A 26340-nucleotide genomic window follows, 5' to 3' on the forward strand; every position below is an offset into this window, starting at 1 on the left:
AAACCATTAGCACTTGTGAGAACCCCCTCACTCTCATGAGAACTACATGGGAGACACCACCCTTATGATCCAATCACCCCCACCAGCTCCCTCCCTCAAAATGTGAGGATTATAATTTGAGATGAGATTTGGGTGCAGACACAGAGCCAAACCATATCAAAGACTCTGCGGGGGACACAAAACCAAGAAAGTTTATAAACAGAAGAGTGCCAGTAACAGTGGTGTCTTTATAAAAAGAAGGAGAGAGAGAGGAGCCAGGACATGCATACGGAGGACATTCCTGCCCTTTCCAGCACTGGCACAGGCATTCAGTCTTACGAAGAGAATTCTGCTGCAAAGACCCAGCCTTGGACATGAGAAATTACATTTTCAAAGTCATGTAAATGATCACTGGGAAGTTTGGCATTGGGATTTAGCTCTTTCTTTAATCAATGCTTTTTTTCTGACACTATGCCATGAATTGTATAGAGTTATCTCACACTATTTAAAATGTTAACAGTAAATATGACTCTAATATGCATCCAAGAGAACCATAACACAGAGGTAGAAGGTATGGCTGTAAGATATTTCATAAATATTACTTATACAAAATAATGGCAATCACAATAATTGTTATGTGCAGCAGGTCCTCACACAGAGTCATTTTGTTCAGCATCATTTTGTTATAACATTGATAGAAAAAATTCGATTCTTTTGGGGGGCATTTTTCTGTGTGGAGTAGGCACATTCTCTCCATGTCTGCATGGGTTCTTTCAATGTCCTTTGGTTTCCCCCCTCATCTCAAAGATGTGTACCTTTGGTTAACTGGTGTGTCTCAATGGTCCCAGTGTGAGTGAGTGTGGTTGGATGTGATTGTCCCTGCAATGGAGCTATGACCTGTCCAGAGCTGATTCTTGCCCTTTGCTCTGAGCCAATGGGACAGGCTCCAGCCACCTATGACCTTGAACGAGAATAAGCAGATACATAATCATCCATTTATATGAATCTTTCTTAAATGTGTCTATAGCTCACATTTATTTGTTTAATATTAGAAGTGTTTCAAGTCTTTCTTTAGATGTTTGGTGATGTTTTTGTGACCAGAAATAGTCCTTAGGAACCTAACTCTTATTTCTATCAATTAGCTAATAGATAGGTTGGCTTGCTTATATGTCATTTGGCTTCAAGTCGCAGTTTTGAAAAACTTATCCACAACATTGAGCTCTTATTGTATTACACAGCTATTACAGGCCAGTGTTTACATCTATCACTTCTTAACACTCATTATTTGCAGAAGAGCGCTGTGAGATTGACAACAGTATTTCCTCATTTGGCAGAGGCAACTGAGGCTCACAGAGCGGCCATTTGAACATCTGTATTGACCATCACACAGTAAGTGACGAGGACAAATTCACATCTGCTTCTCACCTGGATTTCATTAATTCCAAACCCCAGATATCTGCTAATTTTTTATAGAAATGCAAAAGTTAATACTCCTGCCGATAAGTCACTAAAGAACTAAAGCAGGGTTTAAAAAGTGTACATTGGGACTCGCCTCCTTCTCTCAATTCCATCTTTAAAGTTCATGTCACAAAATTATGCTCACAGCTTTTCTTCAGAAAACTCCATTTGTTCCTCCTACTTTCATATCGTCAACCCCCTCCATGATAGCCATGTCCACAAAGACTTTCAAGGTGTTGTAGGATAACTCAAATTAACCTCACAGTCCAAAGTCCCAGTTCCCCAACTGCCTTTGTCCCCTATGTACTCCTGCTTTTCCTGAGGTCAGAGCTGCATGCTGGGAACAGAGGGCTGTAAAAAGGCAGAGTTATCAAACTCCTCCATCCTGACTCTGGGCAAATAGACTTGTACACAACTTAATTACATTTCAGTGGGTTTAATGCAACACAAACTATACATAAACTTCAGAGGACTCACGGCAGAGATGAATCCTGAGCTGTTTGGGGCAACAAAAAGGCAATCTTCAAGGGGCTCCCAGTGGGAAGAAAGTGATTCCAGGCAGAAGACGCCAACTAGGCAGTGACATGGTAATGCAAAAGCAAGGTTATACGGTTTAAAAACTTCCCATGCTATCATTGTCTAAGAGTGAAATGAAAGCAGTCTATCCAGAGATGAGGCTGGAGTGATTCAGTGAAGCCAGTCCTGAAGGCTTTGTGTGGCAAGCTCAGCAGCTTTGTCTTAACTTGTAGGCCTGGTAACCCTCCCTCTAAGAAACAGAAGCTTGCTGGTAGTCACTACTTACTATTCGGTAACATATATTTCAATAAGGAAGTCGTAAGACTAATTAAAAAATTAATCAGTGCTCTGGTCAACATGAAGAGTCAAAGTGCTACTACATTAAGCTATAAGCCACTTTATGGCTTCTTCCTCAGGGGCTAATTAATATCTTGTGAAAGAAGTAACACAAAAGCAATCATGTGTCGCACTGGAATATGTCAAGTTCTTGGTCCAGAGCAAAGGCTCCAGAGTTGTGACATTTTTCTGCTGACGAGGAGTCACGAATATTTGTGCTGTATCAAGTCACGTGCAGAAGAGTTCAGCAATATTCCTTGTTTTTCAGGTAAGTAACAATGGGTGCTATGACAAACTGACCTCTCAATCTCAGTGATTTAACAAATTGTCATGCATCCCTAGCTCCCATTATAGCATCTTAGTTCGGTGTGGTCAGTGCAGGCACTCAGGGACCCAGGCTCCCTGCTGGCCCGTTCCCAGTCTCCACTGTGGACTCTGTGCTGTCTAGCTCTTTTGTGGCCTCAGGTTGCTACCCCAGTCACAGTCACTGCTCTTGTGCTGGTTTTTAGGTACAAGATGATGAAGGCTAGCTGGTATCTACTGCATGCGGCATTGTGTTGACTTCGTTCTTCAGTGCCTGTTCTTGTGGGTATTGATGTAAAATGCAGAACTCTTTCTACGTCCTGCTCAGTCTTATGTGTCCATTTGCTTGCCCCCATGCCTGATCCTCTTGCCTCTGGTCTCTTGTCTGATCTTTAACAAAGACATGAGTTAAATTTGACCCTTGGACAACTCAAAAATTAGGGGCACCAATCCCACCTTCCCCAAAGTTGAAAACCCACTTATAGCTTTTGAGTCCCTAAAACCTTGACTACTGTTAGGCTACTGTTGATAGGAAGCCTTACCAATAATATAAATAGTCCACTGAGAAATATTTTGTGTTATACATATTATATGCTGTATTCTTACATAAAGTAGGCTAGAAAAAATGTGGTATTAAGAAAATCATTAGGAAGAGAAATGTATTTACTACTTAGTAAGTGGAAATAGATCATCATAAAGGTCTTCATCCTCATCATCGTTATGTTGAGTAGGCTGAAGAGGAGAAGAAAGAGGTTGGTCTTGCTCTCTCAGGGGTGGCAGAGGTGGAAGAGATGGAGGAGGTGAAAGGGGGGGCAGGGGAGGCAGGCACACTCGATGTAACTTTACAGAAATGCATCGTAATTTCCGTCTAAATTTATTACCTTTTCATTTCTCTCAAAATGTTTTTATATGGTACCAATCCTTCCACTGTTTGCTTTAGTTTCATTCCCAATAACATAGAAGGGTCCATGTTGTAAAAGAAGCCAAAGCCAAAAGCTGTCTTGAATAGTCTGAACCCTCTGCCATATTGCCCAGTGTCAATTTATTTTCTGCACTGCTTCCCCTACAGCCTCTCCCTCACTGTCTGGCACTGGTTTGGAAGCACTCATATTCATCAAGTCATCTTGTGTTAGTTTCTCTGCTGTGGTGGCTTTTAGCTCTTGGGTTTTTCCAAGATCCATACCTTGAAACCCTTCACCCTTTACCTTGTTCACCACATCTACAATCTCATTCATGATATCCTTGATTGGCTCTGTGGTAAATCCTGTGAAGTCATGTGCAGCATCCACACACACTTTTCTCCAGCAGGAATGTGTTGTTTCAGGCTTGATAGTTTTCATGGCTTTCTAAGTAACAAAAATGGCCTCTTCAGTGGTGTAATCTTTTCAGACTTTTATGACTAGTTGTTTCTATTGGGGTTCTCCTCCATAGCGTTGGCAATCCTTTCCACAGAATACCGTGTTTCATGAGCCTTAAAGGTCCTTATGACACCCTGATCTAAAGGTTGAATTAGAGACATTGTGTTTAGAGGCAAATAGGCCACTTTGACACCACCAGGGTTGAACTTAAGGGGTTCTGGGTAACTGGGGGCATTGTCCCATATCAAACAATCTTTAAAGTACCTTACTGGCAAGGTATTTACTTTCTGATTTCAGGGACAAATTGTTGAAAGAACCGATCTAGAAATAAGTTTCTTGTTGACCAAGCCTTCTTGTTGTACAACCAAAGGACTGGCACCTGATGTTTATCTTTCCCCTTCAAGGATCAGGAGTTATAGATAAGGACATTTTCAAAAGCAGTAGACTTCCTGACTTAAGTCCTGGTGCTCATTTCTTTTCCTTATTAATAATTGTTTTTTTTTAATTTTTTCCCCTGAAATAAGTCCTTTTGCCTACATTGAAAACCTGTTCAAGCAGATGTCCTTTCTCCTCAATGATTTTCTTAGTGGAGTCTGGGAACTTGCCTTCTGCCTCTTGGTTGGAAGAGGCTGATTCTCTTGTTATCATGAAAATTTTTAAGCCAAATCTCTTTCTAACTTTATCAAACTATCCTTTGCTGGCATTAATTTCTGCATCTTCCTTTTGCTTTAAGTTGTCATGCAATGACTTTTCTTTTTCTTGACTAAGATTATAATGTATAGATATGCCTTTCTTATAGCAATCCTGCACCTACATGAAACTTTGAGTTCAATATGAGATGAAAAGTTAAGATATATTTTTGTGTGTATATATGTATATAAATATGTGTGTGTATGTGTGTGTATATATACACTTATACATAAATATTTAAATTGATTCATAATCACTGAATTTTTTCCCAAAATATCTTCTTTTGTTGAATCCTTGTTAGCTTGGGTTTCATCTTCATTAAGGCCATTTTCATTAAGAGTTTTATCTTCCTTAAGGGTTTATCTTTCATATATAAAATACATTATACGTGTATACAAATATGTTTATAATGTACAAAATACATTATATATGTATATACATATATGTAGATAGAAAGCAAGAGAGAGAGAGACAAAGAAAGAGAGTGACAGTACAGCAAGGGAGATTTTGTTGTGTTTCTGTGTAGAACCTTGAGCAATACAATACTGGGGGATGGGGGTAGAAATAATTGGATTTTCCAAACTACAAGGCCTTGATTTCCATATTCTCTTTTATTTCTGCTTATAAACTGGTTCTTTCTTTAATTTGTCTGTTTTCAGCTACACCTTGCTAAATTCAGCTGCTAATAAAACAACATAATCAAGATGCAAATTCCTTCAAAAAAGTTTTACTAGAGCCACAGGATCTAAAAAGTAAAAAGACAAATTTCAAAGTGGAAAAAAACATTTTTAATATTTGCAACTGATGATAAAAAATTAAACAATTTTAGAAAGATTACTTCAAAGCAATAAGAAAAGCACAACATTCAACAGAACAATGGGCAGATATAAACAAGTATTTTACAGAACACAAAACACAAATAGGAAATAAACATATAGAAAGATATCAAAGTGCTTAGTGGTCAAGAAAATGTAAGCCAAGAAAACAATGAAAAATAATTATATACTCATTCTTTTAGATAATTTTTTAAAAATCGGCACATGAATTTTCACATCAGGACTCTGTAAAATGTAAAAATCTGCCAACAATCTTGAAGTGTATTCAAAGAAAATAGAAGAATGAGCTATAATAACTGTTACAGCAAAATGGTTTAATAACAGTGATGTGGTTAATAATGGTAAATAACAATGATGTGGATGAAATTTAGAAATATAAATATAAGTAAATAAAGTAAATCCAAAAAGATTGTAGAAACACTTTTTTTTGTAAAGTTTAAAACAACTAAGATAATGTATACAAAAATATTGGCATAATAAACCTAGATAAGAAAGCACACAAAGGAATGATGAACATGGCGGGGGTAATGTGTGTTGTCTCCCATGGGGTTGTCATGGGAATGAGATGGAGAAACTAGACGGTGAAATGTAGGTTATGTTCAAGGCTCTGGCTTTTACTTCTTATGGCATGTTTGTGCATACATATTAAAATATACTAAATAAATAATTTGCTAAATAAATGATTCTGGTCCCTATTTGGGTTCATGTGTTTTTCATGAAACAAAATGATTAATCTAAAATCTAATTCTGTGCAGAATAGAACAAGTCCAGAAAGTAGAAAATAAGAAAGAAAGGAAAGGAGCTTGCAGGGGAGGAAAGAAGGAAGGAAGGGAAAGAATAAATTTTTTTTAGTAAACCAAGCAGAAAAATCAAGCTTCCTAAAAGTGGTGAAATTAGTCTTATCTCATACTGTTCAGCAGCAACAGTCACTGCCAGAAATCTGCCAACTGATTTATTTCTACTAATTTTTTAGGGAAAGAAAAAGTGAGCCAAGATAATTTCATGCCCAGTTGGAAATTTTTTATTGTGAAAAGGAAACAAGAAGATATCCTCAAACATGAATATACCTAAGGAATGAAAACTCCATATGTTCTTTTAAAGTATATACATATATATGTATATATTTAATAAATAACTAACCCCTAAAAAGATAAGCAGAGATGCAATGGTAAAAAGAACGTGTGTTGTTCTTAGTGCAGCAGACAGTGGGGCACTTCTAATGAAATCCCAAGGGCAAGAAAGGGACCCAGTGCTCTCATATGCACCTAAGATGCCAGTCAGGTATAATGGCAGCATATGGACGAGAACTGTTTGGCCTTGATGAAGATGAAACCCAACCAAACAAGGAATCAACAAAAAAAAAAATGAAAAAAAGACATTTTGGAAAAAAATCAGTGATTATGAATCAATTAAATTTAAAAATGTGAGCTATATTTAAAAATGTGAACAATTCTGGCTATAAGACTAAATGTAAATTTAATAAAATACAAACTAAATATAATTTTTAGAATCAGGAAGTGGGAAGGGAGGAATGCAAGAGGGTAATTTCTTTCATTTACAATATTATATGATAAACTAATACCGTGTAGAATTGAAACAAAGATTTAAATTGAAATATAATAGTGGCAACTTCTGATTGTTTTATTGTTTTATTTATTTGTTTTATTTCTCTATCATTCAGAGTATTTTTAATTTTTAATTTTTTTTATTTCAATAGGTTTTTGGGGAACAGTTGGTGCTTGGTTACATGAATAAGTTCTTTAGTGGTAATTTCTGAGACTATGGTGCACCCATCAGCCGAGCAGTGTACACTGTATCCAATGTGTAGTCTTTTATTCCTGCCACCCCCAGCCCTTTCCCTTAAGTCCCCAAAATCCAATGTATTATTCCTATGCTTTTGCATCCTCATAGCTTAGCTCCCACATATGAGTGAGAACATACGATGTTTAGTTTTCCATTCCTGAGTTACTTCACTTAGAATAATAGTCTCCAATTCCATCCAGGTTGCTGCAAACACCATTATTTTGTTCCTTTTCATGGCTAAATGCTATTCCATTGTATGTGTATATATACCACGTGCTCTTCAACAACTCACTGATGGGTGGGCATTGGAGCTGGTTCCATAGTTTGGCAATTGCAAATTGTGCTGCTATAAACATACATGTATCTTTTTTATATAATGATTTATTTTTTATCTGGGTAGATACCAAGTATCTGTAGCGGGATTGCTGGATCAAACAGTGATCTACTTTCAGTTCTTTAAGGAATCTCCACACTGTTTTCTATAGTGGTTGTTCTAGTTAACATTCCCACCAACAATGCATATGTGTTCCCTTTTCACTACTTCCATGCCAACATCTATTTTTTTTTTCATTTTTGATTATGGCCATTCTTGCAATACTGAGGTGGTATCCCATTGTGATTTTGACTTGCATTTCTCTGATAATTAGTGATGTTGAGCATTTTTCCATATGCTTTCTGGCCATTTGTATATCTTCTTTTGAGAATTGTCTATTCATGTCCTTAGCCCACTTTTTGATGGATTGTTTGCTTTTTCCTTGCTGATTTGTTTGAATTCTTTGTAGATTCTGAATATTACTCCTTTGTCAGATGTGTAGATTGTGAAGATTTTCTCCCACTCTGTGGGTTGTCTGTTAACACTGCTGATTATTTCTTTTGCTGCGAAGAAGCTTTTTAGTTTAATTAAGTCCCATCTATTTATCTTTGATTTTGTTGCATTTGCTTTTGGGTTCTTGGTCATTAAGTTTTTGCCTAAGCCAATGTCTAGAAGGGTTTTCCTGATGTTATCGTCTAGAGCCTTTATGGTTCTATGTCTCAGATTTAAGTCCTTGATCCGCCTTGAGTTAATTTTTGTATAAGTGAGAGATGAGGATCCAAGTTCATTCTTCTACATGGGCCTTCCCAATTATCCCAGCACCATTTGTTGAATAGGGTGTCATTTCCCCACTTTATGTTTTTGTTTGCTTTGTCAAAGATCAGTTGACTGTAAGTACTTGGCTTTATTTCTGGGTTCTGTATTCTGTTCCATGGGTCTATGTGCCTATATTTGTATCAGTACCATGCTTTTTTGGTGACCATGGCCTTATAGTAGAGTTTGAAGTCAGGTAGTGTGATGCCTCCAGATTTGTTCTTTTTGCCTAGTCTTGCTTTGGCTTTGTGGGCTCTTTTTTGATTCTGTATGAATTTTAGGATTTTTTTTTCCAGTTTTTTTTTGAATAATGATGGTGATATTTTGATGGAAATTGCATTGAATTTGTAGATTACTTTTTGCAGTGTGGTCATTTTCACAATATTGATTCTACCCCTCCATGAGAATGGGATGTGTTTCCATTTGTTTGTGTCATCTGTGATTTATTTCAGCAGTATTTAGCAGTTTTCCTTTTAGAGGACTTTCACATCCTTGGTTAGGTATGTTCCTAAGTATTTTATATTTTTTTGCAGCTATTGTAAAAGGGGTTGCATTCTTGATTTGATTCTCAACTTGGTTGCTGTTGGTGTATAGCAGAGCTACTGATTTGTGTACACTAATTTTGTGTCCTGAAACTTTGCTGAATTCATTTATCAGTTCCAGGTGCTTTTTGGATGAGTCTTTAGGGTTTTCTTGGTAGACGATCATATCATCAGCAGACAGTGACAGTTTGATTCGGATGCCCTTTATTTCTTTCTCTTGTTTGATTCTTCTGGCTAGGACTTCCAGTACTGTGTTGAACGGAAGTGGTGAAAATGAGCATCCTTGTCTTGTTCCAGTTCTCAGAGGGAATACTTTCAGGTTTTCCTCATTCAGTATAATGTTGGCTCTGGGTTTGTTGTAGATGGGTTTTATTACCTTAAGGTATGTCCCTTCTATGTCAATTTTGCTGAGGGTTTTAATCATAAAGCGATGCTGGATTCTGTCAAATGCTTTTTCTGCATCTATTGAGATGCTCATGTGATTTTTGTTTTTAATTCTGTGTTTATGTGGTGTATCACATTTATTGACTTATATATATTAAACCATTCCTGCATCCCTGCTATGAAACCCACGTGATCATGGTTCATGGTTGAGTACCTTTTTTTTTTTTTTGAGACAGAGTCTTGCTCTGTCACCAGGCTGCAGTGCAGTGACACGATCTCAGCTCACTGCAACCTCCACCTCCTGGGTTCAAGAGATTCTTCTGCCTCAGCCTCCTGAGTAACTGGGACTACAGGTGAGTGCCACCACACCCAGCCAATTTTATTGTATTTTTAGTACAGACGGGGTTTCACCATGTTGGCCAGGAAGGTCTTGATCTCCTGACTTCATGATCTGCCCACCTCGGCCTCCCAAAGTGCTGGGATTACAGGCGTCAGCCACCACACCCGGCCAGTTGATTGCCTTTTTGATATTCTGTTGATTTCAGTTCTCTAATATTAATATTTTGTTGAGGATTTTTTCAGTCTATGTTCACCAGGGATATTGGTCTGCACTTTTCTTTTTATGTTATGTCCTTCCCTAGTTTTGGTATTAGGGTAATACAGACTTCATGACATAATTTAGAGAGAAGGCCCTCTTTCTCTATCTTTTGGAATAGTGTTAATAGGATTGGTACCAATTCTTCTTTGAATGTCTAATAGAGTTTAGCTATGAATCCGCCTGGTCCTGGACTTTGTTTTGTTTTGGCAATTTTTTTATTACCATTTCAATCTCATTGCTTGTTATTGGTATATTCAGAGATCTATATCTTCCTGGCTTAATCTAGGAGAATTGTATATTTCCAGGAATTTATCTATCTCCTCTAGGCTTTCTAGTTTCCAGGAATTTATCTATCTCCTCTAGGCTTTCTAGTTTATGTGCATAAAAGTGTTCATAGCAGACCATCCTGGCTAACACGGTGAAACCCCATCTCTACTAAAAATACAAAAAATTAGCTGGGCATGGTGGTGGGCACATGTAGTCCCAGCTACTCGGGAAGCTGAGGCAGGAGGATGACATGAACCTGTGAGGCGGTGGTTGCAGTGAGCCGAGATCGCGCCACTGCACTCTAGCCTGGGCGATAGAGCGAGACTCTGTCTCATTTAAAAAAAAAAAAAAGTTCATAGTAGCCTTGAAGAATTGTTTGTATTTCTGTGATATCAGCTGTAATATCTCTCATATCATTTCTAATTGAGCTTATTTGGATCTTCCCTCTTGTTTTCTTGGTTAATCTTGCTAATGGTCTATCAATTATATCCATCGTTTCAAAAAACCAGCTTTTTGTTTCATTCATCTTTTGTATTTTTTTTTGTTTGCTTCTGTTTCATGTAATTCTGCTCTGATCTTCATTATTTATTTTCTTCTGCTGGGTTTGGATTTGGATTGTCTTGTTTTTCCAGTTCCGTGAGGTGTGACCTTAGATTCTATTTGTGCTCTTTCAGAATTTTTGGTGTAGAAATGCTATTAACTTTCTTCTTAGCACAGCTTTTGCCATATCTCGGAGGTTTTAATAGGTTGTAACGCTGTTATTTTTCAGTTCAAATAATTTTTTAAATTTCCATCTTGATTTCATTGTTGATGCAATGATCATTCAGGAGCAGGTTTTTTAATTTCCATGTATTTGCATGGTTTTGAGGGTTCCTTTTGGAGTTGATTTACAATTTTATTCCACTGTGGTCTGAGAGAGTGGTTGTTATAATTTTGATTTTCTTAAATTTACTGAGACTTGTTTTGTGGCCTATTATATGGTCTATCTTGGAGAATGTTCTGTATGTGGATGAATACAATGAATATTCTGCAGTTGTTGGGTAGAATGTTATATAAATATCTGTTAAGTCCATTTGTTATAGGGTATAGTTTAAGCCCACTGTTTCTTTGTTGACTTTCTGTCTTTATGACCTGTCAGGTACTGTCAATGGCAGTCCCCCACTATTACTGTGTTACTGTCTATCTCATTTCTTATAGAACTAAGAAAGTAGTAGTTGTTTTATAAATTTGGGATCTCCAGTGTTAGGTGCATATATATTTAGAATTGTGATATTGTCATGTTGGAATAGTCCTTTTTTCATTATATAATGTTGCTGTTTGTCTTTTTAAACTGCTGTTACTTTAAAGTTTGCTTTGTCTGATGCAAGACTAGCTATTCCTGCTTAATTTTGGTGTCCATTTGCATGGAATATCTTTTTCCACTCCTTTATCTTAAGTGTATGTGAATCCTTATGTGTTAGTCTCCCCAAAACAGCAGAAACTTGGTTAGTAATTTCTTATCCCTTCTGCCATTCTGTATCTTTTGAATGGAGCACTTAGGGCATTTACATACAATGTTAGTATTGAGATGTGAGGTACTATTCTATTCATCATCCTATTTGTTGCCTAAATACCTTGATTTTTTTTATTGTGTTATTGTTATATATGTCCTGTGAGATTTATGTTTTAAGGAGGTTTATTTTGGTGTATTTCGAGGATTTGTTTCAAGATTTAGAGCCCCTTTTAGCAGTTCTTGTAGTGCTGGTTTGGTAGTGGTGAATTCTCTCACCATTTTTGTTAATCTGGAAAAGACTGTATCTTTTTTTCATTTGTGAAGCTAGTTTTACTGGATACAAAATTCTTGGTTGATGATAATTGTTTTGTTTAAGGAGGCTAAAACTAAGACCCCTAACCCTTCTAGCTTGTAGGGTTTCTGCTGAGAAATCTGCTGTTAATCTGATAGGTTTTCCTTTATACCTGATGCTTTTGCCTCACAGCTCTTAAGATTCTTTCCTTCATCTTGACGTTAGCTAACCTGATGACTATGTGCCTAGATGATGACTTTTTGTGATGAATTCCCCATATGTTCTTTGAGCTTCTTGTATTTGCATGTCTAGATCTCTAGCAAGGCCAGGAAAGTTTTCCTTGATTATTCCCTCAAATATGTTTTGCAAACTTTTCGATTTCTCTTCTCCCTCAGGAACGCCAATTATTCTTAGATTTGGATATTTAACATAGTCCCAAACTTCTTGGAGGCTTTGTTCATTTCTTAAATTATTTTATTATATCTTTGATGGATTGGGTTAATTCAAAAGCTTTGTCATCCAGCTCTGAAGTTGTTTCTTCTGCTTGTTTGATTCTATTGCTGACACTTTCCAGTGTGTTTTGCATTTCTCTTAAGTGTATCCTTGATTTCTAGAAGTTGTGATGTTATAAATAAATTTTGGTGCCACAAAAGAAATAGTACTAGAATATATATATATTTTAATTTTTAGCAAGGCAAGGTAATTTTACAGAACAGTGTGCCCTTATAGATAGAGCAATGGTGAGCACACACTTGGACAAGGGAGGGGAAGGGGTTCTTATCCCTGATGAACGTGGCCTCTGTTGCTCTGTTGTGTTTTTATTGGCTAGGGTTAGACTGCACAGGCTAAACTAATTTTGTTTGGCTAATTTAAAGAGAGTGATGGGGTGAGTGGTTTGGCGGGAAAAATGGTTATGACAGAGCAGATAATTGGAAGGAGTCTTGGTGGAGTGGGTAATAGGAATGAGTTAGGGTGGAGTAGGTAATCAGAATGAGTCAGTGTGCAGCAGGTAATCAAAAAAGTTTGCTTTATGAGGAAGTTCAGTTTAAAAGTAGAAGGCAAATAATTGAACATACTGACGTATTGATTTTTTGAAACGAAATTTAGAACTAGTATCTAACATGTGATTACTTTTTATTTATGCTATCTATTCCACTGAAGAATTTTTCTTTCATATCCTGTATCATTTTTTTTTTTTTATTTTTTTAAGTTGGACTTCCTCTTTCTCTGGTTCCACCTTGATTAGCTTAATAATCAACCTTCTGAATTCTTTTTCTGGCAATTCAGAGATTTTTTCTGCATTTGGATCTATTGTTAGTGAGCTGGTATGATATTTTGGTGGTGTTAAAGGACCTTGTTTTATCGTATTACCAGAATTGTTTTTCTGGTTCTTTCTCATTTGGGTAGAGTATGTCAGAGGAAAGATCTGGGACTCAAGGGCTGCTGCTCAGGTTCTTTTGTCCCACAGGGTGCTCCCTTGGTGTGGTGTTCTCCCCTTTCCCTTAGGAATGGGGCTTCCTGAGAGCCAAACTGTAGTGATTGCTTTCGCTCCTCTGGGTCTAGCCACCCAGCTGAGCTACTGGGATCCAGGCTTGTACTGTGGAGTGTCTGCAAAGTGTCCTGTGATGTGATCCATCTTCAGGTCTTGTAGCCGTGGATATCAGCACCTGCTCTGGTGGAGGTAGCAGGGGAGTGAAGTGGACTCTCTGAGGGTTATTGGTTATGTATTTGTTTGTTTAGTACACTGCCTTTGTGTTGGTTGGCCTCCAGCCAGGAGGTGGCGCTTTCAAGAGTACATCAGGTGCTGTCCTATAGGGAAGATGCAGACTTGCCCTAGGGCAAGTATTCAGGTTTCCCAGGAGTGGGCAGGGCCGTAGAGATCCCAGGAGATTATGATCTTTGTCTTTGGCTACCAGGGCAGGCAGAGAAAGACCACCAGGTGGGGGCAGAAATAGGGTGTCTGAGCTCAGTCTCTCCTTGTGTGGGGCTTGCTGTGGCTGCTGTGGGGGGATGGCGATGTCGTTCCCAGTCCAGTGGAATTATGTTCCCGGGGGATTATGGCTGCCTCTGCTGAGTCATAAATGTTGCCAGGGAAGTAGAGGAAAGCCAGCAGTCACAGGCCTCACCCCACTCCCATGCAGCCTGCATTCTTAAAGGTCAGTCTCACTCCCACTGTGCCACCCCAACAGCATTGAGTGTATTTGCAGGAAGCTGGTGGCCAGGGCTGAGAACTTGCCCCAGACTATGAGCCACTGCATTGAGAAAGCAAGCAGACTTGCAGTTTTTCAGTGTCTCAGGGAGCCTGCAGCAGCGATCCAGTTCCCTCAAAGGGTATGTGGATTCTCTCAACTTTCCTAGTATATTCCTGCAGTAGTTCTTGCAGCAAAAGTTCATGGTGGGTCTCCACATGCTGCTCTGTCCATCCCAGTAAGAGCTGCAAGCTAGTCCCGACTCCCATCTGCCATCTTAATATGTTTTTTTCCTTTGATTGTTTTAATTAATCAAATTTATTAAATGTAAAGTCTTTTGGGGGAAAACAAATGTTTAGAAAATGTAAAAGTCAGAGTGTTTTTAGTTTTTTTAAAAAATTTCTCTTACATTGGAAGTTAATTTCAGTAATTTTCATTAAAATAATACAGCATGATCCCATTTTCATAAAATTGTTTTATTCTGTATGTCAGTTTATCTACTGTCTGTTTGCTTATCTAATCTCATAGCTTGATGAACGAACAGGCATGGGCAAGACTTGTAAACTCACCTACTGGACCAAATTTATCTACAGATGGTAATTGTTTGTCCCACACAATGCTCTGGATGTTTTGCTTTGTTTTTTGAGACAGAGTCTTGCTCTTTTGCCCAGGCTGGAGTGCAGTGACATGATCTTGGCTCACTGCAACCTCGCCTTCCAGGTTCAAACGATTCTCCTGTCTCAGCCTCCAGAATAGCTGGGACTGATGTTTTTCTAACTTAAATCCCAATGCATTTAGTCAAGGTCTACCATTTCTGCTTCTTCACAGCCACTTTGTCGCTGCTTGACTTGCACCCAGCTACTTCCATATTTACTTCACCTTATTGGGCCCTGAAGTAATACGACTCTGTTACCACTGCAAGGAACAGTGTTTAAAGACTGGTCTCGGCCGGGTGCGGTGGCTCATACCTGTAATCCCAGCACTTTGGGAGGCCAAGGGGGATCACCTAAAGTCAGGAGTTCACTGGCCAACATGGTGAAACCCTGTATCTACAAAAATACAAAAATTAGCTAGGCATGATGGTGGTTGCCTGTAATCCCAGCTACTCAGGCAGCTGAGGTGGGAGAATTGCTTGAACCCAGGAGGCAGAGGTTGCAGTGAGCCAAGATCGTGCCATTGCACTCCAGCCTGGGAAACAGAGCAAGGCTATGTCTCAAAAAACAAAACAAAACAAAACAAAACAAAAAACAAAAGAATGATCTCATAATATTAACAATGAGACGTGTAATATTTCTTTTTCTCTTTTATACTTTTTCTGTAGTGCTGAAAATTTGTATATTGTGTTGTAATTTATTTTAAAACTATAGAGTTGAGAAAATATTCAATGTATGAAATCAATTACAGAGAACTGCTTATAATGTTTCTATTTACATGGTTGCTTGTATGCAAAATGACTGATAATAATGTGTCATTTGATAACAGTTGTGGTGCCATGTTATCTGAAGCAGATTCTGTAATCAATATGTCAGATGTCAATATTTATAAAATAAGCGCAGTGATACATGCACCTAATTATGTCTTGGAAACATTAGGAAAAATGCAATGGTATATGTGAAGTGTTCTGAACAACTTGGGAGAAACAAATGCTATATAAACTCAAGATGGTATTAGAAAGGATGATAATTTATTGAGGGATTTTTTTCACCAATGGATCTCAGCCCTAATTAGACCCACTATCTGGACGCTGTTCAATACATTCCCAGAAACGTGTAGATCAATCTAGATCAGCATACGTGAGCAGATTCTACAAATCAGAGCAACCCTTTCTCATAAGAATTTACGTCAGAATGAAGTGGATATTGTGAAGAATCCTCTAACATCCCATTCGCTGTCACTTACATGCTAGAATTCAAACCTGACCGTGCCTTGAGGTCTTTCACTCTGATCTACAGCACAGGTTCTACCTTCCCTTCCTGTATCTTACAGCTCCTTCCCTTACCAGCTTCCAAAAAACGCCTGCTGCAGGCACAGAAAACTATTCTCTCCTAAATAAGTGTAAACTTCCACACCCATGGTTCTGTGTTTTGCTGTTCCCACTGTGAAAATTGCCTGTCTTTTCTGCTTTCCTGAAATCTGCAAATGTTACATGCCTCTTCCAATGCCTGACTCAGTGTCGTCTCCTCAAAGGGCCCTTTCCTGACTCACTGACGATAACTAAACACACTTATTGTGTGTTTCACACACACGTCCCGCATTTCAACCGCAGAGTGCTAAGAGCCCTCTTGTAGTTCACAGCACTGTAAAACTACTGGGTTTAGGCCATTCTCTCTGCTTCTTGTCAAATCTAGTAGGTCTTGATATCATTGACAGTGATCATGCAACTCGTCCACATGTTGGGTTGAAAGAAACTGAGTTACAGTAAAATAATAACCAAACTTAAAATAGAGTGTAATAAGCTAGCAGTAGGTGGTCTAAGAATTACAGTCCCAACCATCCTAGCAGTGGGATGCCAGTGCCCCAGACGGCTGAGAGATGATTCCATCTCCCTGATCCTATGTCTTTAAGGGGCTTTTGCTTCATTGCACAAGTGCTTTGTGAAGGAATGATTTAGTTCAGAGCATACATGTTAACAAGTCACTGAGTTCTGTGTTTTATATTTGCTTTAGGTATAAACTGTATTCTAATAGCCGCAAGGCCTCTAGAACATAAACTTTGTGTAATTGAAATTTTCTTGGGATCATCGTAATGGCCTAAAGTTATGTAAACATAAGTCCCAGCATTTGACTTCTCTGATACTCTTTTGGCACTTATACTATTATCAGTATCAGAAACATGTGGCTCGATTCCTATGCCTGAAAGTTAACATGGAATGAGACACTCTGTGGGCAGGGGAGCGAGTACCCAGGAACAGGTAAGAAGCATTTGAGGCATTAGTATAGTATTACTCCCAAATATGGCCAATCCCATGAGGCAGGAAGTGTGGTGCTGGAAAGGGGCTGTGCTACCTTCAGTAGTGCAAGAGCCTCTCTCATGATCCTCCAGAGAGTGTGAAACACTGGTGACTGCCTCAAAAACGATGACCAAAACCATAATGACAAACCCCACTGTGCTTACCTGGTGCCGGCACTGTTCATGGGCTATTTCATATATTCCATTCAATTGGAGAGTGCTAGTGTTTCCCTCCATGCTTTCCTTCTGGGAATGGTCAGTCTCAGAAAGGTTAAAGATTATAGCTGCTCTTGCCACAGAGGGGAACATAGATAACTAGGTGAGACCTTAGTTATGTTATTTGATCCTTTATAGTGACAATTTTACTGTACATATCTATCTTATAACATCACATTGCATTCCTTCAATATACACAATAACAATTATTTTTAAAAAAAGGTGTGCATGACACATAATAGGTTACATGCACAGTAAATGTTTGCTGTTATGAACACTGAGCACAGTTCACATTGCCATTTTTTAAAAAAAGAAATTCACCGAAGTCTAAGACTTACAGGTAAAAGAGTCAGTGGCTAACCTACTTTTCTGTCAAGTCAGGAGAAATTCCTGCGGCTTCCACATCAATGGGATACCAAGAGTAAAAGAAAGATATAATCTCCTATCTTAGATATTTTTTGTACCTCATCCCTTCAAAGGCTATTTTTGGCTGTTATGTATGTAACAATATCTATGCAGGACACGTTGACACCAAATTAACCTGAAGTTCTAATCCTTCTGACCGGCAGTATTAGGACACCAGAGACCAAAAAAATGAATCATGGCATAAATGGCAAAAACATGTATCATTCTGTGGAACACAAACTCCCAGGTTTTCAGAAAGGCTGGAAGGCCAGGCAGGGTTGGAGAAGGATGCCACCTATTTTTTAACTTAAGTCAACTGTGAATAATCTTGCTCCATATTCTCAATGCCCTGAATTCAGCTTAACTGTTGTTGAGAGCTACACTTTGCCAGATTGCTTTCCCTCCAGAGTTTTGGTCTTAACTTATTTTTAGTTGGACCTTTGTTAACTTTGCTTCCACTGTGATTGCTACAAAAAAGAACAACACACACACACACACACACACACACACACACACACACACACACACACACACTGATACCACCAATAGTAATGATACTAGGTTCTGACATAACCCCTGTGAATTGCATTTAAATGCATTATCTCTTTGATCCCTAAAAAGTTCTGGGAAGAAACTAGGTTGGTTACAAATTCCTCTGTTTTATAGATGAGGAAACAAAGTCAAAGTTAAGTATATTTACTCAAGTCACACAGTGAGTAGCTGCAAAGCTGGCTTTTTTGAATGTGTTGTGTTTGCAAATCACTGTACCCGCCATCTACTTTGGGACATACACCTTTGCTTTGTAATTCTTTATCTAATCATATCATCATGATTTTTCTTGATAGTACTTATTCTTTTCCAGAAATATCTTTTTTTTTTTAGTTTCTTATTGTCTCCTTTCTACCTAGAATGTAAGTTCTATGTTGTTAGAGATGGCAGTAGACACTCAATACCTATTTGCTGAGTAAATGCACTACTAATCACCGTGATCTTTACTTTATGTTGACTTCCTCTCCTGAAATTATGCCTGCAGTCCTTACCTCACAAGAGTGAAATTCCCCTTCCTTTCAGACTCTTTAGCAAGCCTCCCAGCTGGCTCCCTGGGTCTCCTCTCTGCCCATTTCTCCATTGCATAATGGAAACTATGCTTTCCTCATGCCTACTGTAAGGATCAAGGGAGATTATGCACATGGAAGTGGCTTGACACTAAGTGCAGTGTAGACATTTTGAAGAGGAGAGTGACAGTGTCTGAAGGAAACATCTATACACACACAGATATCCATGCACATGCAGACACACACCGTTTTCTTTCACAAATAAACCAGTCAGGCTAAAGCCATACAAAAACGTAGGGAAAGTCTAATAAAACATAAATATTTAACAAAAAGTCATCCCTGTGTTCCCCCATTGAGTTTAACTTTCTGGATTCTTTTATTGAATATTGACCTGTTCCAGAGTAGCCATCATTTTATTCCATTTTCTTTTGCTTCAATCTCTAATTGTTTTATGCATACTTTGTCTTTACAAGATCAGGCTCCAGATGTGATGTTTCCTTGCATGCCCCACATTGCCCTGTATAGGAATGATCACGAGAAAAATACTCAACAGCTGCTTTCAAGCAGTCCTCTGGGTATCAGAGACATGAACAAATGTGGTAGACTGTTTGCAAACATGACAACACGAATGCCTTCACCCTTGAATCTGGGCTTGATCTATGATTCACTTTGGCCAATAGAGCACTTAAAAGTGATATAGACACTTGAAAAGTATCTGCTATTGGGTCCTGCCTCCTTTTGCTGCATTTGAATCCCTGAGAGCAACTTGGAAGGAAGCTCAGGCTAGTTCATGAAGATGAAGATGAGAGGCCATGGCGACTGGGTTGTTCCTGTTGATATTGTCCAGACCAAGCAGCCTACAAACCCCAACCATGTGAGCAGGGCCAGGCTGAACCACTCAGTCCAGCCCAATCTTCAGCTGCTTGCAGAGATAAAGATAAGAATGACTTCCCAACTGACCATGGAAGTGTGGTAAATAACACTTCTCTGCTGTTTTAGTCACTGAGTTTTGGGGTGGTTTGCTAGTTAGCAAAAACTAAATGGTAGAGAGAGACCAGGGAGCTATTACCAAGAAATGCAGGAGGCATTGAAAAGTTGGGGCATCTATCAATTGATTCTGTCAGGAAGAAGAGAAATTGCGCTTCTATAGATTAATGTAAAAACATTGGTTTCAAGCAGGTTTTAATGAAATAAAAATGATCATACTTTTCCATTTTTTTGTAGTGGTAAAATATAGAAGTATTTTATAAACAATGAAGGTTTACATAATGAAGTCATATTGAAAATCTGGGGTGATTTTAATATTACTAAAACAAGAACAGCTACTACTATGACTACTCCTACAACTACCACATTAATAATAAAAATATCATGTATGTCTATAAGGATACACCATTTACAAAGTACTATCATATATATTATTTTATCTTATAGTTTCACAGTGAATCAGTGAAGTGGGCAGGACAGGTATTGTCTGTTTTATAAGAAGTGGGTGAGGTATTAAAAATAACCATTTTTTTGAAATATTGATTTGTTTTATGACATCATAAGAAGACCTACACTGGAATCAGAACTTAGTAATTCAATACTTAGATTTGGCCCTTATATGCTGTGTGATATTGGGAGGTTAGATAAGTCTTTCACCATTCTTAAGCCTCAATGGCCTCATAAACAAAATAAGAAACTATGAAAAAAGTCCTCCTAATATTCTCTTTTTATTAATCTGCTCTTTCAACTATGAAGAATTGCTATTGAGATGATCATGATCTCTGATAATTATTGCCGAATGGATTCCAGTTTGGACTCCAGGGCTGAGTTCTCTGGATGTGACTTCCTCACTTTTTAATTCTAAGAACCAAGTAAATGATGTGGTAATTACTTTGCAAGAAAAGTAACTTGTGTGTAGAAAAAAAAAATGTAGCGAAACTCAACCATAAAAAATAGAAATGTTCATTGGGGATGAGATGTGAAATTCTGCTCAATGAAGAAATTAAAAATGGACAAGAGCATAGTGGGTTGACAATAATATTTCTTAATATATACAAGTTTTGTGAATGCTTCAACCAAGAACTTTTAAGGTCTGTATTGCACATGTAAACCTCATGCACTGCAAAATTCTTTTAAAGGGTGGCTATAACTGATGTAATCTTATTGCATTTCTGGGGTCAGAGGTGAGTTTCTGTAGGTTTGGGTGGAACATTGCATTCTGTGGTATCTGGGACCCCAAGAGTTAAAAGAGCAGGACAGAGCATTATTTGAAGGTAAAAGCCAATGTTAGAAAAATCCAGGAAATACCACACACACAAGGGTATGCAAGGAAAACTCAGGTCAGCTTCTCAGAAACAAGAACGAGGAGCTGATTAGGTAAATCAAGTCAGAAATAAGTGAGAGTTGAGGAGAGAACTCTGGGTTGCATCCATCAGTTTTATGCCATATCTAACCTTTATTGGGTCTCGTTGGCTGCATTAAGGACCATTGGAAGGGTACTGGGCACAGTTTCACTTGAAACGAGAATCATACAGGTAGCCCAAACTGGACCTTTGCTGCTCACAGAAATTCACATTTGCCACTAATGCAATACAAGGGGAGGCTGAAAACTAAACAGTATTATTGATAATGACAGAAAGCTTTTAGCCAGGCTCTCCTATGCAATGATGGATATTGTTTATCATATTTTACTTGTTGCTTTTAAACTTTCCTTGTCAGAATGAATCATGGCTATGGGGAAGGAGACCAGATTACAGACAATGTAATTTGTCTCATAGCAATTGCCCCTCATCAAGAGGCATGAACAGAAGTAAGCAGCAGAAACTGGCAGGTTTTCTGGGGTTGGAAATAATTCTCATTGCCAAAATCTGTCATGGGTGCACCTGGATCCATTAAAAAACAAAAAACAAAAAAGCATGCAATCTGTGATAAGGATGATTTCCTTCCTGCATCAACGGAGTGGTGTTTCGGGTTTGACTCTTGCTATCTGGTAGATTGATAATGGAGATTAATTTACTTATCTCTTAGCTGCATAAATTAGTGTATAGAAAAAACATCTTGCAGCTGCCCAGAATCTGTCATTAAAGATGCCTTAGTTAGTCTCCCCTCTTGGGCAATGAAGTATGTGGAAAGACACATAGCATGATTAGCATATACTGCTTTTCTCTATCTCTCTTTATTCTCAAAAATTCTAGGGCAATGGATAGACAACAAACACGTGTGAACTGTTTAACAGTGATTCAAATTATTGCATTATTTTTTTCTTGCTTTGACTGTAACTAGATCAGGTTTGGCACCATACAGGTAGATTATGATCACGACAGATTCAATTTGCTTATTATTCCTGGCAGAAATAAAATAATTTAAGAAAACCTTGAGTAACCAATATTGATATTTTGATAAACACTTGACTTACTAATTATGATTCTGAATGTAAGACTAATTCTTAAAACAAGCAATACTAAACAAAACAGAGACAGTGATTTAGGTCTACGAAATTAACAGAATTAATTACCCACCAGTGGAGAGGGAGGAAGTTCTTTAAGGCACTCATTACGTAGTTCTGGTGGCAAATGTGACACAGTTCTAGTGGTGCAACTTATTTGTGAAATGAATTTTAAAAATTTATAGACTGTTTTGCCAGTTGTGTTACTTCTGTCACATGTTCTTGCTTAACACAAGCTGTTTAACTGCAGTCCTGACATGTTCATCTGAACAACAGTGTACCCCATCCTCACAAGGAGGGAGTGGATCAGAAGGCAATCCTCCAAGCCTTTGACTGCAAGTTTGCACTGTCCAGTCAGGGTCAGACCTTCAGGACCCTGGGCTTAGTTCACATTTATAAGCCTTGATTACCTCAACATGAACCCAAAAGTACACCCCTAAATCACAAGGCATTGTGGAGAATAAATGAATTAGTGCATGTAAAGTATAGTATAGTCCCTGGCGCAGGGTGAATCATCAGTAAATGTAAGCTCTTTTGATCACTGTTGTTACGCATGAGTAGTTGTGATGTAATAAGGATTATAAATACTTTTTACTAATAAACAAACAAAAAATAGGTAGAAAGATACAATTTGAATCGGAACCATGGGAATGAATGAGAGGGGGCTGTAATTAGATACAGAGTGCAGAATGAATAGAAAAGTAGGAAGTAGGAGAGAATTCAGGTTGGTATAAAAATGAGTAGAGAATAGAAGAAGGAGAATAAACGGCATGTATTGAAGAAACTGGGGCCTGCTTAATGGAAAGAATGATTCAGTTTTTGTTTCATTCATTGCCTAGACAGATGGCCACCTATCAGAGTGATCCTCTAAGCCTCTTTCCACTCCTTACTCATTCTTCCCTGCAAAGAAGAACTGAGTTAATCTTAATTGGTTGGCTGATAACAGGTTTGGGTCCTCTTTTCTTAATTGGTGAGAATCACTCTATAAAACTTTAAGCATTGAAGAGCTTAGACTCTTCCTCTAGTTCCTTCTGAGATAGGGGGAGACATTCTTCCTTCATATGGGTGTCTACTCTGCAGATCTAAACCTTCCCACTGAGTTTGCCTATTGGGCAATTTGAAGATCTGAATTTAACTCAGGGGAGGGGCATCAGGCAGGTAGTGCCAGCAAGCCCTTATGGTTATATGTTAACCAAATCTTGCCACCTAGCCTTCATTGGTAATAAATCCTTTCAACTGTCTAATTCCTGTATCTGTCCTTTATTTGGGTGCAAATGGGGCTGTGAGTTGGGATGTTAAACACTAACGAGGCCATATAGAATCCAGGGAAGAATGAGAACAGTGGGGCAGTGTCACTCATGTATGCTGAACTATTCAATAGACTTCACATTGATGGTCTTGTTTTACCCTCACAATAGGCCTATTTATTCACGGGAGAATCCGACACTCTGAGCTCAACTAAGTCATAGAGTTTACAGGCATTAAAACAAGGTTTGAGTCTAGAGGTTTCTGAGCTCAACTCTGCTTTTTCTGCTACACGTCACCTTTAATGTTAAATTAAGAATATTAAACTTGATGTTTATTTTTTCTAATTATAAGCATTTGTGTGTGTGACTATATTTCCAATTTCCAGCTAGATTTAAAACTAAACTCAACATCAGGAAAAGGGATAATAGTATCTGTCTATTCCTTTCCTTAGAAAGCATAGAGTTGTTTATGTACCTGAGCTTCTGCAAATACTCATTTTTAGTATGTTTATAGGTTATAGATGATTATTTTACATATATTTTAGGGATTTCATAAAATCATGTTTTACGAACTCCAAGATTAGTGTCAAAAATAAAACTGAAGCCCAGAATTGAATTTGTGCCAGAAACATAAAGGAGCTTAGATGGATCAGTCTGGATTTCTGCAACATCAACCTCCTAAAATCTACTCATCATGGGAAGATGTCTAGAAGATCAAACTCTTGTCAAATATAGTAAGTGTTGAGTAAGGGAAGCCAGCATTACTATGTTTAACAACAATGCTCATCTCTTGCAAACAAGTCTACCATGAAATGCTGTTTGGAAAATTGCTTTTACCACAAATTAGATTTTTATTCTTTCTTTATTTTATCTCCCATTCCAAGGCACTACCATATTGGAGACAAGTATAATAAGTATGAATCATCTGGGCATACAGTAATCACCGCGATATGTTGGTGGAGTTTAATGACTGATTAGCTATTTGGCTAAAAAGTCATCCTCTTTCTAAAGATTTGTCTTTTGTTTGTAGAATGTTTTTCTGTGTGTTTTCCAAATAATTTCAATTAGCCCAGCTATACAATTTAATCTTATATGAACCTTATGTGATAGCTTCTCTAGCCCCCTACTTATACACCCCCTTGAATTTCGTGTTTATTTCTTGCTGGTATGCATACAGGGGCATAAATATTTGCTGTGTCACTACCCTCAAAATACCATCCATGTACCATCTCAGTAGTTCTAAAACTCTACTTGTTCATCACTCTGTATGAATGTATTAGTAAGTTCATTCCTTTTTTAAAAATGAATCAGTATAAATGCTCCTGTCAGCTATGGTTTACCAGATACCATTGTTGTATCTGGTTACCTCTCTGGCTTCTAATTCATTTCTTTTTTTTTCATATTACTGCATTTCATAGTATCATCACTCAATAGCGAACCTGGTTATATATGTTGTTGAATCAGTTGTCCCAGTAACTATTTACTAAGTCTTAAGAACTTACCTTATGTGATCAATGTTGCCAATTTCTTTTTTTTTTTGCCTTAATAAACAGGCTTATTTTAAATTTAGCTGAAGTGAAGTAACAAGCATCTATCAGGGAGACATTCTCACTAGTTGGGTTACATACAACCATAACTATAAAAACAGCAACAAAATAACACACTATTTTTCAGCAAAAGGTAAGAAGTAAAATGTAGAAAATATTTCTAAGTTCAGAGAATGTGCTTTTCCTCCAACCTAAGTTACATCTGTTCCAACATGTCTTTCTCCATGATGGTAGAGGGCTGTATGAAGTGGAAGGACATCAAGGAGTTGCTTCTATACTCGGACTTCTCACTCTTCTTGACTGCCCAGGAATGGGCTACCACTGGGAAATTTGTCCCTTGAGGATACTTAGAGAGGTCAAATCTTTTTTTTTTTTCCCTACATAACTTAATCTTATAAAAGCTACAAATACAAAAGTTACAAAGATAAATTTATTTAAGTCAGTTCTTCCTTATGTCTCTTCCTCCAATTTTTTCTCTTTATTTTTTCCTCCATCCCTTCCGTCTTCTTTTCTCTATAACAAGAAATGTCAGATATTGTCTTACAGTCATTGTTGTCATTATTACTAGTTCTCAGTCTACTTAGTGGAGAACATCACTCACTTGGAAAAAGTTTCAACAAATAAAATAAAAAATAAATCCACATTTAGCAGTGATCTTCTCAGCTTTCAAAAGTAAAATGACACCTCAATGAGTTTTAAATCAATTTTTCTGTCTATAATATTTGCCCTATTGAAAGTTCATCATGATAAAATAGATTATATTTTTTAGATAATATAGTTGTGTTCAATTCATCAGACATTAAATTGATGAAAACTGTTGTTCTGACATAATATATATTTCTGATTATAAATGAAAATAAAATTTAAAACAAGTTGTTCTAAATATTAAGTCCTAGTAAGTGAGAAAAATCCCATTTATTTCTCAGTGTGAATTATCATGAACTGGACTCAAGTATATGAAAATGTGCAATATGATTGAGTTAATATTGCCAATTAGTGGGGAAAGCATGATCGACTCAGTAATTTATAAGACAAATGGTTATCCAAAGAAAATATAACACTTCACATGATTTGAATTTGTGTCCCCACCCAAATCTCATGTCGAATTGTAATCCCCATTGTTGGAGGAAGGGCCTGTTGGGAGGTGATTAGATTATGTGAACCTATTTTCCCCCTTTCTATTCTCATGATAGAGAGAGAGTTCTCCTGAAATCTGATTGTTAAAAAGTATGTAATACCTCCTGCATCACTCTCTCTTCCTCCTTCTCTGGCTATGTCAGTTGTGCCTGCTTCCCCTTTGCCTTTCAACATAAAAGTTT

The 26340-nt window shown here is 37.7% G+C and overlaps 2 annotated features.

Annotated features, from left to right (window-relative positions):
- Positions 1930 to 3129: an enhancer, noted in NCBI's record as "CDK7 strongly-dependent group 2 enhancer chr2:6232422-6233621 (GRCh37/hg19 assembly coordinates)". NCBI's record gives its function as "activates an origin of replication core promoter dependent on BRD2, BRD4, P300/CBP, MED14 and CDK7 cofactors, with strong dependence on CDK7, by STARR-seq in HCT116 cells {active_cell/tissue: HCT116}" and the evidence as "EXISTENCE:reporter gene assay evidence [ECO:0000049][PMID:35650434]".
- Positions 23359 to 23860: an enhancer, noted in NCBI's record as "NANOG hESC enhancer chr2:6253851-6254352 (GRCh37/hg19 assembly coordinates)". NCBI's record gives its function as "activates a minimal SCP1, AML or CMV promoter by ChIP-STARR-seq in primed H9 embryonic stem cells {active_cell/tissue: H9 hESC(primed)}" and the evidence as "EXISTENCE:reporter gene assay evidence [ECO:0000049][PMID:30033119]".

The sequence above is a fragment of the Homo sapiens genome, chromosome 2, assembly GCF_000001405.40.
Source record: "Homo sapiens chromosome 2, GRCh38.p14 Primary Assembly".
NCBI classification, from domain to species: domain Eukaryota; kingdom Metazoa; phylum Chordata; class Mammalia; order Primates; family Hominidae; genus Homo; species Homo sapiens.